This window comes from Homo sapiens, chromosome 1 (genome assembly GCF_000001405.40).
Source record: "Homo sapiens chromosome 1, GRCh38.p14 Primary Assembly".
Taxonomy (NCBI): domain Eukaryota; kingdom Metazoa; phylum Chordata; class Mammalia; order Primates; family Hominidae; genus Homo; species Homo sapiens.
In genome coordinates this window covers 81247671-81262242 of record NC_000001.11, presented here as the reverse complement: position 1 = coordinate 81262242, position 14572 = coordinate 81247671, and the positions used below count along the sequence as shown (strand labels likewise).

The following is a 14572-nucleotide window of genomic DNA, read 5'->3' as shown; positions in this document are numbered from 1 at the left end:
AACAGACACATAATTTCTCTCATTATTAACATCTAGTATGGCACATTTATTAAAATTGACAAACCAATATTGATACATAATTGTTGACTAAAGTCAACAATTAAGGTTATATTAAGGTTCATCTTTTGTGTTGCACAGTTCTATGGGTTTTGATAAATGGACAATGTCATGTATTCCCTAGTATATTATCACACAGAATAGTTTCACTGCCTAAAATCCTCTGTGCTCCATCTATTCATCCCTTTCTCTTCCCCTGCAAACTCCTGGCAAGCACTGATGTTTTTACTCTCTCCATAATTTTATCTTTTTCAGCACGTCACATAGTTGGAATCATATAGTTTTTAGCCTTTTCAGACTGGCTTTTTTTTTTCAGTTAGCAATATATGTATATGTGTATATATATGTGTGTGTGTATATATATGTGTATATATATATATATATATATTAAGTTTCCTCTATGTCTTTTCATGGCTTGTTAGCTCATTTCTTTTTATCACTGAATAGTATTCCATTGCATAGATATCCTACAATTTGTTTGTCCACTCACCTATTGAAGGACATCTTGGTTGCATCCAATTTTTAGCAATTATGAATAAAGCTGCTATAAACATTTATGTGCAGGGTTTTGTGTGGACATAAGTTTTCAACTCATTTGGGCAAATTTCTTGGAGTGTAATAGCTGGATCATATGGTAGGATTATGTGTAGCTTTGTAAGAAAGTGCCGAAGTGTCTTCCAAAGTGGCTGTACTGTTTGCATTCCCATAGCTGTGAATGAGAGTTCCTGTTGCTCCACATTCTCACCAGTATTGGGTGTTGACAGTGTTTTTGATTTTAGTCATTCTGATAGATATGTAATGTTATCTCACTGCTTGATTGGTATCTTGTTTAATAAACAAATATTTACCAGCTTTTATGTACCAGGCAACGTTCTGAGGACTAGGATTGCAACAGTGAACAAAACAGTCAAAAATGCCTTCCATGAAGCTTGTATTCTAATGAGGTGAGTAAATATATATAATCTATCAGATGGTGATAAGTGTTATTATGGAAGAAAATGGAGGAAAGCAGACTGTTGGGGTGGGGGCTACGATTTTAAATTTTGTAGTCAGAGAAGCTTCATTGAGAAGACAACATCTGAGGAGAGGTTGAAGGAAGAAAGAAAGAAGTCATGAAAACATGTGATGGAAGTGTTGCAGGTAGAGGAAATATCAGGTGCCGGCCGGGCGCGGTGGCTCACTCAGGTAATCCCAGCACTTTGGGAGGCCGAGGCAGGTGGGTCACCTGAGGTCGGGAGTTCAAGACCTGCCTGGCTAACATGGCGAAACTCCGTCTCTACTAAAAATACAAAAATTAGCCTGGCGTGTTGGGGGGCACCTGTAATCCCAGCTACTTGGGAGGAGGCTGAGGCAGGGGAATCTCTTGAACCTGGGAGGCGGAGGTTGCGGTGAGTCAAGATTGCGCCATTGCACTACAGCCTGGGCGAAAGAGTGAGACTCCGTATAAAAAAAAAAAAAAAAAAAAAAAAAAAAAAATCAGGTGCAAAGGCCCAGCAGAAGAACTGTGCCTGCCTGTAAGGTATAAAGAACAGCAGGGAAACCAGTGTGAGCAAGTTGGAGGTGTTATGAGAGAGGTCATCGGGGCTTCTTTATGGAGGGCCTGGTAGGACATGGTTAGATCTTTGCAGTTTATTGTAAGACAGAGGGAAAGCTATCCAAAGGTGTTGATCAAGAAAGTGATAGGACATATCCTATCTTTTTAACCATAATTGAGCAGTTGTACTGAAAATAGGTTGTAAGGGGTGAAGGGCAGAAACAGATAGACCAGGTAGGAAGTACTATAATAATCCAGGTAAGATTTTATGTTGCTTGGATTAGGGTTGAAGGCAGCAATTTCTACATATGAAGTGCTTGTAACATTGCCTGTCACATAGTATTATAATAATAATTATTTTTATCACTAATATAAAAAATACAAAATATTCTTTTTTTCTACCTCATGTTTCCCACAATTATGACATCATAGTCTGATGTTAATTATTCACTATGTTCACTGAAATTATAACTGAGTTACGCCTTCTAAAAAATTCAACTTCTTCTATTTTGAAAAGTTAAAAGAGTTCTTATTGTGATTAGATTTTCATGACGTTGCCAGGATATATCTTCTAAATAATTTTCAACTTATGGCAATATATTTAGTTCATTTAAAATATAATTAGGTTCCAGTTTGCAATCCTTCTAACTAGGAAGTCTGTTGTATGAAATAAAGGGAGAGGCTGGTTAAAGTTTTGAGCTCTTAAACATTTTTTCTTTTCCCTGGGAGTGCAAAATTAGGAGGCGGAGTGTGGTTACAATAGTTGTAGAATGATGAATAGCAGGCACTTTGGTTGAAGGTTCAGATCTCTCTGAAAGTGGGACTAGGGTGGGAAGACTGTGAGAAGATAACTCTTTTTTAGGAACACGAGATTAAATATGGAATGTTAAATGTTCAGCCAGCTGTGAGTGGGAGAAATTGAGATCAACCCTGTCATTCTTCTGCTTTTGCCTAAACCAGAATACTGTCACTGAGTCTTAGGAAGCCTACGAAAGCATCAAGTGTACTTCGAATGAGTAAGAAGAATTCCAGAGATACCCTCCAGTAACTGACCACCTCGTTGTAGCATTAGGCAGTCCTCTAAATGGATCCCAATGACGACCTAAGTGTAGATGCAAATGTAGACATGCATTCACTTAGGAAATATTTATGAACATGATCTACATGCTGGGAGTTCTGATAGGGACTGGGGATTCAGAAATAAATAAAAGTTCCTGTCTCATAGAACTTACATTGCAGTGGTGAAGACAGCCAATAAACATTTAAGCAACTGAACTTATAATATAGTGCTACACAGTGATAAGTGTGAGGCAGAAAAACACAAAGGGTAGAGGAATGCAGAGTGACAGAATGTGCATTTTGGATACGCTGTTTAGGGATGAGATCTCTGAGGAACTGGCATAAGAACAAGACGTAAATGCAGCAAAGATGCAAGCCGCCATGTATATATTCCTGGGGAAAGCATTCCAGGGGAAGAAAATTCCAAGTGTAAAGTCCTTGAGGTGGGAACATTTCTGATGTGTTCTCAAAAGAGCAAAGAAGGCCAGGTGACTACCCTGAGGGCGGGAGGAGAGCACGGGAGGGAGAGGAGGCTGAGAGGCAGTTAGTGGACAGGCTGTGAAGAATGTTGAGTTTCTGTGTCATGGGAAGCCAGTGACAGCTGAGACATTCAAAGTGTTATGATCTGATTTTCATTCTGGAAAGATTATGCTGCAGAGTAGTGAGGGGAGGGAAGCACAAGAGGAAATAGAAAGCCCAATCAGGTAGCCATTGCATAAACCCAGGGGAGACAAGGACGTGGACTAACTTCCCAGTGACTGACTTTGAGGTGTATTTTTGTAGGTATAGGTGACAGTGTTTGAATTGGATGTGAGATGTGGGATTAAAAGAGAGAGAGAGAGGATTGGTGCATAACTAGCTGTGTAAATGGTGATGACATTTTACCAAATGAGGAATGCCAAGTTGAAAGAAAGAAGTTGCAGTGCAGGGAAGATTTTCTCAGAGTAAGAAAGAGATGTTGTCTTCTCGAGTTCCCCATAAAGTCTGCAAGTTCTGAGAAATTAAAAACAATTTTGATTGTAAACAACATACTTAAGATAGATTTTATTCCCTTTGAGATGAGCATGATATTTTCTATAGCAGTGATTCTCAAAAATTGTTCTGTGGCCTGTTAATGGGCTTTAAGCAATCCCCTGAAGAATCTCAAATTGATTCAAATGTACAGGCGTTCCCCTTTATTCTTAAGGAAAAGTTGGGTTTTATTCCATTGACTTATCTTATTCTTATCTTTATCTATAACGAAGATTTCATTTTTTTTTTTCTTCAGAGATGGGGTCTTGTATGTTGCCCAGGCTGGAGCGTGGTAGCTATTCACAGGCACCCATCATAGGGCATTACAGCTTTGAACTTCTGGCTTCAAGCGATCCTCCCCTGCCTCAGTCTTCCTAGAAAATGGCGCTGCAGGGGCACTCCACCACATCCAACTACTAAGAGCGTTTTGTTTTGTTTTACTATTAACCTAGGATATTAACATTTGTTATTTATATACCCAAATTAACAAGCTGCTAGAGCATACTGAAGACTAATTCAGTTTCGCACCTAGAAGTATTTGACAAAGCTTGACAATATTCCTTCAGTTTTAGGGGAGGACAATTTGTTACTAGTGAATCAGAAACGTCTGTGTTGGCCAGGAATTTTAATTGCTGTTATTCTTGCTTGTTAATTATAAATTTAGTTTAGCTTAATTATTACCATTTTATTTTCTTATGGGATGTATCACTAAGCTTACAGTTTGTAGCCATGTATATTTGGTCCAATATTATTTCTGGATTGTAATATCCCCAAAGCATTGAATCCCAGTGTACTAAATTTGAATATGAATTATCCATCCCCCCTATTGCTAAAACAGATGTCTAAATAATTTCCTTCCTTCATTCCTCAACTTGCTTAAGCAGTGACACTTTATCATTATTGCTGAATTCCTTTTCCACTGGAAGAAGTGATCAAGTAGAATAGGTAGATTATGGAGTCTTTGCTATAATATGATCAAATAATTGAAAAGCTATTGGTATACATTCAAATATTCATTTCTTCTAATTTTTCCTCATTGTCAGGAGGCACATTACTGATAAGTTTTCATTTTTTTTTTTTTCTTCTGCAATTAACCAGATGTACAGGCAGCATAATAGAAAGACATTCAAAATTTGGGGAATCGTCCATTTCCTTCATTTAGAGTCAACTAGGTTTGCAATTAAGTTTTGACTGCCCCAAGCTGTTTAATCATTGACAAGTTACCTAACTTCATAGCCTCAATTTTTTCATTTGTAAATTGGGATCATAATATTTTCTAATTTATTCGTCTATTGTGATGCTTGAATCAGATGATGATAGCAGTGATGGAATAAATGAACTTTATGACAAGTCAGGGACTGTTTAAAGTACCTTACAAACATATCAATGAGAAGATGATAATAAAAATATTAGCCAGTATTTATGGTGGAAAGATTGGAATAATAGATGATTTAAAAATCATTCTTGTTGGGCTGGACACAGCAGCTCATGCCTGTAATACCAGCACTTCGGGAGACAGAGGCGGGTAGATTTCTTGAGCCCAGGAGTACAAGAACAGACTGGGCAACATGCTCAAACCTCATCTCTACAGAAAATACAAAAATGAGCCAGGCATGGTGCCATGCACCTGTAGTCCCAGCTCCTGGGGAGGCTGAGGTGGGAGAATGGCCTGGGTCCAGAAGGGGATTGCAGTGACCTGGGATGGTGCCACTGCACTCCAGCCTTCCTGACTTTGTCACCCCCCAAAAAAATCATTCTTGTCAATGCTAATAGAATAATTTTAGTGAGACTGACAGGTTGAACCTTGTTATCAAAAGTATCACTTTTGGATGTAAAGAATAAAGAATTGATCTGGTGTAGAAAAACATGAATTGTAGAGTGTCTTTCCATTATATGCAATAAGACTAATTACAGAGACTTCTTTCATATGAGAGACTGTGCTAATGACCAAAGATGAAACTTTGCATTAAGAATTTATCTTTTTAAGTGGAGTAAAAGCCATTTACTTCTAGAGATATAAATGGTTAAGGCTAAATGAATCTTTAAGTATATCCTAGTTACACACTGACTTGAAAGGTTATTTTCTCCCTGTTTAAGCAAAAGAGACTACAATTAATTTTGACAGATGTGGCAATTATCTGATAACTGCCAGCTTATTTTCATACAAATTACCTGATGTGGTTTGGCTGTGTCCCCACCCAAATCTCATCTTGAAATGTAGCTCCCATAATCCCCATGTGTTGTGGGTGGGACCAGGTGTGAGGTAACTGAATCATGGGAGTGGGTTTTCCTGTGCTGTTCTTGTGACAGTGAATAAATCTCACAAGACCTGACCGTTTTATAAAGGGCAGTTCCCCTGCACACCCTCCTTTGCCTGCCACCATGTTAGACATGACTTTGCTCCTCTTTCACTTTCCGCCATGACTGTGAGGCTTCACCAGCCATGTGAAACTGTGAGTCCATTAAACCTTTTTTCTTTATAAATTACGCAGTCTCAGGTATGTCTTTATTAGCAGGATGAGAACGGACAAATACACTACCCAATAGCAAGATTATTTTTGATGATCAGAAGTCTTGTCTGAAAAAAAAACATACATCAAGTACTCAGGAGATTGTGATGCTAATCTGGGAACCATATTTGCCCTAAGAATGGAAGGATTGTGAACAACTATCTGTGAAGAAATGCAGTGCCAAGATGAAAAAATGCCAGGCAAGGTAAGGAGAGTCTGGGAAAGTGCAAAGAAGGAGGGAAAGAAAACAAAGAAATGGAAACAGAGATTGTTTATCCCTGAGTCCTAGTACATAAAGACATTATTATTAACATTTCCACAATACTTTCACTTTTTATTAGGCACTTACGATATAACAATGAATTTCAAAATGGGACCAGGAGGGTAGAGATGAGGGAAAAGGTCCAAGATGGCAAAGAGGGTTCCAGATTGCCTTGACTCTTCTTATTGCCAAGCCCAGTTTTTCCTCTAACTCCCACAGCTCTCCTAAGTCCTCTTGGAAAGGAAACTGGACCATGATTTTTGCCTACAATTATTTCTCCTTATTCTCTGCTCCCCTGGATTGTCAAATACAGTGCTTGCCCTCTTCCCCTCCTACCCCTGACAACCGGCTTGGTCACTAATGTCAGTATAAGGGTAGAAAGGGATGCTGATAGGAAATCCCAATGTTTATCTCTAAGCAGTGGTTTCATTAACTAGAAATCCCCCAAAATGTGGGCAAGGTTTTAAACAGGGCACACAATGTTAACTCAGCTTGGTGCATGAGTCAATAGTTGTAAAGTGATACAGAATTAAATATGTCACTTAGTGTTATTCTAATGTGGGGCTCACATATTTGTTGGTGAAACATCGCTCTTTGTGGTAAAAATTGGGTAGTTTTTTTCTAAAGTTAGTATCATATTTTAATAAGTCTAAAAAGTGCTCAAGGTATTACAGAACTTCAATGAAAAAGATAAATTTTGAGGTTCTTAGAAGCAATTATGTTAGGAACCAGTGCTAGGAGATGTGAGGCTAGTTGTAAAATGCATTTCTGAAATCATAAGTTGAATGTTATAGGTGAAACCCAGCCCAGGGACAAAAGGATTGGGCTCTGTTGGTAAGTTTTAGGACACCTGGTCATTCATATTAAAAAGGCCATTTTCTTTCTTTTGGCCCCTTACTTTATCTAAGACTTGCAAGAAACCTAGGAGGTTCTCTTCACACAACTGTGAATAAATGTAGCCACACTTATGTAAAATGAAGTGCAACAATACCAGAATTGGTTGGTTTTGTGATGCTCCACGAGCCTGGGTCTTATCGGGTTGAGGGTTAGGAAATAGTCCATGTCCTAACTGTGTTGGTCATGTGGTTGGAACAGGCATTGCTGGAGCCCTGCTGGTATGTTCCTGAATTGCTGCCTGATTCCTGAGCCTCCTGATTTGTAGCCTGGGAATGCTGCTGTCTTGAAGGACTCTGGGAGGATATTAGGAAGCAGTCAAGTCTGTATAGTTCACTTTATTTGATTAATCAGAGATCATTCCTATGACTTTTTCATGGAAGTATTTGCATTACTATTTATAGTAATGTTTTCATATACCGCTTTTCCCCCACAACAATGTCTCTTTTAAAAGACAACATAACAGGTATCATAAATGTATATACTTTACCTAGGGGGCAGCTACACCCAAAGAAAACTTTTTTTAATAAAGGCTAAAAATTTTTCTCCAAAGTCATGTGATCATGAAGTTCTGAAAATGTAAATGGTCTCAGGACAATGAAGTCCCTATATCAGAGAGGGGTGCAGTGCCACCACTGTTAGCGCCACTAGAAATCCCAGTGTACTACAGGTACTGCAGAAAGGGAGGCAAAGCAAAAAGATTCATGTGACATCTAATTTGTTTGACTATTTACAAGTTAAGGCTTTGAGAATCAGAATTATCAGAATCATTTAATTAGATCAGTCAGGTCAGCTTTGAGCCATTTAAGCTGCGGAACTTTCATCTAAGATGAAGGCTCATTAAGCAGACTGCAGAGCTAGAATGTCTGCATTTGAATCTCTGCTGCTCTCTACTAGCCGTGTGACCTTTGGCAACTTATTTTATCACTCTGTGTCTCAGTTTCCTCATCAGTAAAATGAAGACAATAATGGAATCAACCAAATGAGGTAGATTATAAGAGTTAGTATATGGAAAGTACTTAGAAAAGTGCCCAGTGCCTCAACATGGTACATACTATGTGAGGGTTAGCTATTACTAGAATTGACCAGGTCTTTAAGACTGCATCTTAAGTTCTACCACATCTATCGCCCCCAAATTGCTGAATTGCCTACTTGTCTAAGGCAAGCCTTCTATAAAATAAGAGGAAAATAGAGCTTCAATCGTAAGCTTAGTATCATGGTTACATATGAAATATATGTATCAAACCCAAAAAGTGCTTGTTACTATTTTCATCGTTATGATTTTGTTACAATCTCAAAGTATGTGACATAGTGTTATTTTTTTTTTCCTTTTGGCATATGAAAAGTGGGACTATTTTAATTCTTTAGTATCATTTAAAGAATTCACACATTTGCTTACTCTGGAAAGCCTGCAATTGTGTTTACTAAAACATATGGATGTTTACTATAAATGCTTCATTCCTAGGATTTGCTTCCACATGTGCTATCAGGCATAATGGTAATATTTTAACTCCGGTAAAGTAACGCATGCTATAGAAATGTGTATAATGTGCTTCACAAGATAATTTTCATCCTCATGTTAATTACTTGAATAAAATGCAAATATTTAATTGAATGTAAAAATTGATCCTATCCATATTTATTTGTTCTATTTTCAGGGTAAATTCAATACGATTACTACGAGCATAATTTCAACTGACTTCTATGAAGAAGATTTCACAGTCACCTGAAGCAACAGCCTGCAGCTGTCATTATGGAAAGCCCCCAAAAAGAGCTTGGAAAATCTTGGGAGGATTTCTTCAATCTTATGAAAAAAGGGAAACAAATAAAGTAAAAGGAGATTTCTTCTCAAAAAGAAATCTGAAAATGTAGCATTAGAAACCAAGAAGGGCTTAATCTATTGACATTTTAAACTCTTACTACCCAGATTTCTCATTCATTGTTCATTTTACATTCTTATGAGCTTCATTTCAACAGTGCTTAAAAATTGCTGCATATTCTTAAGCCACTAAAACAGATGCAAATTGAGATGTGGGATTTCTGGGCTTTAAAAGTAGTTGCAAAACTGTTTTTTAGAAATGGATCCCATACTAACAAGGGATACAAATCAATGCATCAAGAGAAACTAGAATACAATATGGTGTGGCTCACAATTAGAAAATATGAGTTTACTTCATTTTGTTTCTATCTAAATCAATCCTGAAAACTTCACTGATTGTATGACTCTCTTCTTTTCAATGTATCATTTAAAGGACAGACACATTGATGGAAAATAAATGGATGAAGATGGGCTTTGTGAATCCCAGATCTTACTGTTGGTATGTTTATAAACACAAGCAGGTGAAGGTTACAGTCTAGCATTTATTTTTACCCTCTTTAGGATACTGTGAGTCAAAATATTTTACATAAAATGTACTTTCTTGCTCTGGTTTTCTATATTGTTACCTTTATATTATACTGTATTTTTGGCATTGTAGCAACTCAGTGTTTGCACCATTAAATCTGACTATAAAGGGCCTCTGATACTGTACTTTGTTATATTTATATTTTTAAAATATAAAAACAATATACTCTTGACGATAAATAGAAACTCAGAATTGCACAATTTCAACTCATTGGCAATGTGACCTGTTCAACATTACATATAATACACTTACATCACTCATAAAACAGAATGTTTACAATTCTTATACTACTTGAAAAATCTCAAAAATGCGTACCATTTGCATTTCATGACATCTTAACAAAATATGGAGTCTTAATGACCACCTCAGCTAACCTAGGATTTTCAGGTAATTTTTACAATTTTAGACAAAGACAAGAGAAATGAAATTACTTAACCTGGAGTCCTTTACATTATAGACTTTTATTGGTTTTGGGTTTTTTTTTTTTTTTTTTTTTTTGAGCTGTTTGCAGGTTCTTGCAGGGGAGCAAAGCTACTCTTGACAGGAATAATGGTCTTCCTCTATCAGGGGAGGTCATCCTCTTTGACCAAACATGCAGCTTCAGGAGGGATGCATGGGAAGTGGTAGGGAGGAAAGGGATGCCCGCCTAGCCAGCCACATCAATCCGAATCAAACTTGGTGATCAATGGGTTGACATGTCGCAGCCAGATCACCTTCACTTCTGGTTTTTGATTTTTTGAAGAGTGCTCAATGAATACTTACCTATCCTCGATTTTCACATACAAAAAATCAATTTTTAAATCATTGTCCTTGTATACCCTTCTGGACCTCCTTGAATGGGTTGCCGTAACTCTTGCATCCAATATCAAATGACTCATACACCCTCACACACATACATACACACACACTCACAAACAGCACTAACTGAAAAACATGAGAAAATTAATCTGAGTTGCTGCATTTTCTGAAAATACCTGAAAGATAAAGAAAACCAGAAAAAAATTTCACCCAGCTATGGAAAACCTCTCCATATTTTCCATGAGTTCTGCTATCCATCAATATTCAGCAAAAGTTGGAAATAATCATCCCAAAAAATCTTCTCAAAGAAAAACAATCATTTAATACAATCTCCATATCCCAGATATGTCATTTCTCTCATTTGAGTCTCAACAGTACTTTCTGTCTCCCTTTTGCACTCAGAAGGTGAGTTCTGCTTATGGTCCTATGTAACTACCTGTGTAATTTTAAACAAGCCACTTAACCTCTCTGAACTATTGTTCGTTAATTTCTAAAATTTGTATTTTCATGCACGTCTGTGTGAAGAGACCACCAAACAGGCTTTGTGTGAACAACATGGCTGTTTATTTCACCTGGGTGCAGGCGGGCTGAGTCCAAAAAGAGATTCAGTGAAGGGAGATAAGGGTGGGGCCACTTTATAGGATTTGGGTAGGTAAAGGAAAATTACAGTCAAAGGACGTTTGTTCTCTGGCGGGCAGGAGTGGAGGTCACAAAGTGCTCAGTGGGGGTGCTTTTTGAGCCAGGATGAGCCAGGAAAAGGACTTTCACAAGGTAATGTCAGCACTTAAGGCAAGGACCGGCCATTTACACTTCTTTTGTGGTGGAATGTCATCAGTTAAGGTGGGGCAGGGCCTTTTCACTTCTTTTGTGATTCTTCAGTTACTTCAGGCCATCTGGGCGTATACCTGCAAGTCACAGGGGATGCGATGGCTTGGCTTGGGCTCAGAGGCCTGACATGCCTGCCTTCTTATATTAATAAGAAAAATAAAACAAAATAGTGTTGAAGTGTTGGGGTGGCGAAAATTTTTGAGGGGTGGTATGGAGAGAGAATGGGTGATGTTTCTCAGGGCTGCTTCAAGCGGGATTAGGGGCAGCGTGGGAACCTAGAGTGGGAGAGATTAAGCTGAAGGGAGGTCTTGTGGAAAGGGGTGATATTCTGGGGATGTTAGAAGAAACATTTGTCGTATAGAATGATTGGTGATGGCCTGGATACAGTTTTGGATGAATTGAGAAACTAAATGGAATAACAGAAGGAGAAAAACAGGTATAAAAAGTCTAAGAATTGAGACGACTCAGGATATCTGATTAGAGAGTGCCTAAGGAGATTCAGCATAGTCCTGCCAGCAAAGATTATTTATTTATTTCAAGAGTTAAGAGTGGCAGTTTGGGGATAGCACCAGGAGATATCAGCTGTGATGGCTTGGAGAAACAGTGTAAACCGGCAGTGTAAACAAGAGCAGGGCATGTATGAGTAGTTGAGAATGGTGAATAGGAGTATGACTAGACAGAAGATAGTAGGGATGACAAGTTTTTTGGGGGCACAATCTAAGTTGATCTGGTGTCTGGAATGAGACTGGGGCCTAATAAAAAGGAATGTCTACACAGGAGCGTAAATGGGCTGTACCTTGTAGCATTCCAAGGACAGGCCTGAATTCTGAGAAAGGAAAGTGGTAAAAGTATTGTCCAGTCCTTTTTAAGTTGGTAGCTGAGCTTGGTGAGGTATGTTTTTAAAAGACCTTTAGTCCATTCTACTTTTCTTGAAGACGGAGGACCGTAAGGGTTATAAAGGTTTCACTGAATACTAAGAGCCTGAAAAACTGCTTGGCTGATTTGACTAATAAAGGCTCGTCTGTTATCAGACTGTATTGAGGTGGGAAGGCTAAACTGAGGAATTATGTCTGACAGAAGGGAAGAAATGACTTCGGTGGCCTTCTCAGACCCTGTAGGAAAGGCCTCTACCTATCCAGTGAAAGTATCTACCTAGACTAAGAGGTATTTTAGTTATCTGACTCAGGGCATGCTGAGTAAAGCTAATTTGCCAGTCCTGGGTGGGGGCAAATCCTCAAGCTTGATGTGTAGGGAAGGGAGGGGGCCTGAATAATCCCTGAGGAGTAGTAGAATAGCAGATAGAATAGCAGATGGAACACTGAGAAGTTATTTCTTTGAGGATAGATTTCCACGATGGAAAGGAAATGAGAGGTTCTGAGAGGCGGGCTAGTGGCTTGTACTATAGCATAGCCTGCCTTTGCTGGTGTGTGGCGATTAGGCCTGGTGGAACCGCCATCAATAAATCAAGAGTGATCAGGGTGAGGATCAGGAAAGAAGGAAATTTGGGGAAATGGGGTGAATCTCAGGTGGATCAGAGAGATACAGTCATGGGGGTCACGTGTGGTATCAGGAATAATGTGGGAGGCCGGATTGAAGTCTGGGCTAGGAACAATGGTAATTGTGGGAGACTCAACAAAGAGTGAGTATAGCTGAAGGAGCCAGGAAGCCGAAAGTATATGCGTCAGGTATGAGGAAGAAAATAGATTTTGGAAGTTATGAGAACTGTAGAGAGTAAGTTGAGCATAGTTTGTGATTTTGAGGGCCTCTAAAAGTATTAAAGCAGCAGCAGCAGCTGCATGCAGACATGAGGGCTAGGCTAAAACAGTAAGGTCAAGTTGTTTGGACAGAAAGGCTACAGGGTGTGGTCCTGGCTCTTCAGTAAGAATTCTGACCGTGCTAACCATGCCTAGGAAGGAAAGGAGTTGTTGTTTTGTAGAAGGTGCTGGGGTTTGAGAGATCAGTCGGACACGATTGGCAGGGAGAGCACGTGTGTTTTTATGAGAATTATGCCGAGATAGGTAACAGATGAGGATGAAATTTGGGCTTGATTGAAGTAATGGGGGCTGTCTGTGAAGCTTTGCAGCAGTACAGCCTAGGTAATTTGCTGAGCTTGATGGGTGTCAGGGTCAGTCCAAGTGAAAGCGAAGAGAGGCTGGGATGAAGGGTGCAAACGAATAGGAAAGAAAGCATGTTTGAGATCTAGAACAGAATAATGGGTTGCAGAGGCAGGTATTGAGGATAGGAGAGTATATGGGTTTGGCACCACGGGGTGGATAGGCAAAACAATTTGGTTGATAAGATGCAGATCCTGAACTAATCTGTAAGACTTGTCCGGTTTTTGGACAGGTAAAATGGGGGAATTGTAAGGAGAGTCTATAGGTTTTAGAAGCCCATGCTGTAGCAGGCGAGTGATAACAGGCTTTAATCCTTTTAAAGCATGCTGTGGGATGGGACATTGGCACTGAGCGGGGTAAGGGTGATTAGGTTTTAATGGGATGGTAATGGGCATGTGATCGGTTGCCAGGGAAGGAGTAGAGATGTCCCATACTTGTGGGTTAAGGTCGGGGGATAGGAGAGGAAGACGCGAAGGAGGCTTTGGGTTGGGGAGAAGGGCGGCAATGAGATGTGGCTGTAATACAGGAACAGTCAGGGAAGCAGATAATTTAGTTAAAGTGTCTCAGCCTAATAAGGGAACTGGGCAGGTGGGGGTAACTAAAAGGAGTGCTTAAAAGAGTATTGTGTAAGTTGGAACCAGAGTTGGGGAGTTTTAAGAGGTTTAGAAGCCTGGCCGTCAATACCTACAATAGTTATCGAGGCAAGGGAAACAGGCCCTTGAAAAGAAGGTAATGTGGAGTGGGTAGGCTCCGTATTGATTAAGAAGGGGACGGGTTTACCTTCCACTGTGAGAGTTACCCGAAGCTCGGCGTCCGTGATGGTCTACGGGGCTTCCGAGGCGATCGGGCAGTGTCAGTCTTCAGCCGCTAAGCCGAGAAGATCTGGGAAGGAGTCAGTCAGAGAGCCTTGGGCCAGAGTTCCAGGGGCTCTGGGAATGGCTGCCAGGTGAGTTGAACAGTCCGATTTTCAGTGGGGTCCCACACAGATGGGACGTGGCTTAGGAGGAATCCTGGGCTGCGGGCATTCCTTGGCCCAGTGGCCAGATTTCCGGCATGTGTAGCAAGCTCCTGTGGGAGGAGGTTCTGGAGGAACTCCTGGC

At 39.6% G+C, this 14572-nt stretch overlaps 1 pseudogene, besides 2 other annotated features; it reads right to left on the bottom strand.

Annotated features, from left to right (window-relative positions):
• On the bottom strand, positions 10147-10454 carry RN7SKP247 (RN7SK pseudogene 247; annotated as a pseudogene).
• Positions 10567-11469: an enhancer, noted in NCBI's record as "OCT4-NANOG-H3K27ac hESC enhancer chr1:81716459-81717361 (GRCh37/hg19 assembly coordinates)". NCBI's record gives its function as "activates a minimal SCP1, AML or CMV promoter by ChIP-STARR-seq in naive and primed H9 embryonic stem cells {active_cell/tissue: H9 hESC(naive and primed)}" and the evidence as "EXISTENCE:reporter gene assay evidence [ECO:0000049][PMID:30033119]".
• Positions 11470-12374: an enhancer, noted in NCBI's record as "OCT4-NANOG-H3K27ac hESC enhancer chr1:81715554-81716458 (GRCh37/hg19 assembly coordinates)". NCBI's record gives its function as "activates a minimal SCP1, AML or CMV promoter by ChIP-STARR-seq in naive H9 embryonic stem cells {active_cell/tissue: H9 hESC(naive)}" and the evidence as "EXISTENCE:reporter gene assay evidence [ECO:0000049][PMID:30033119]".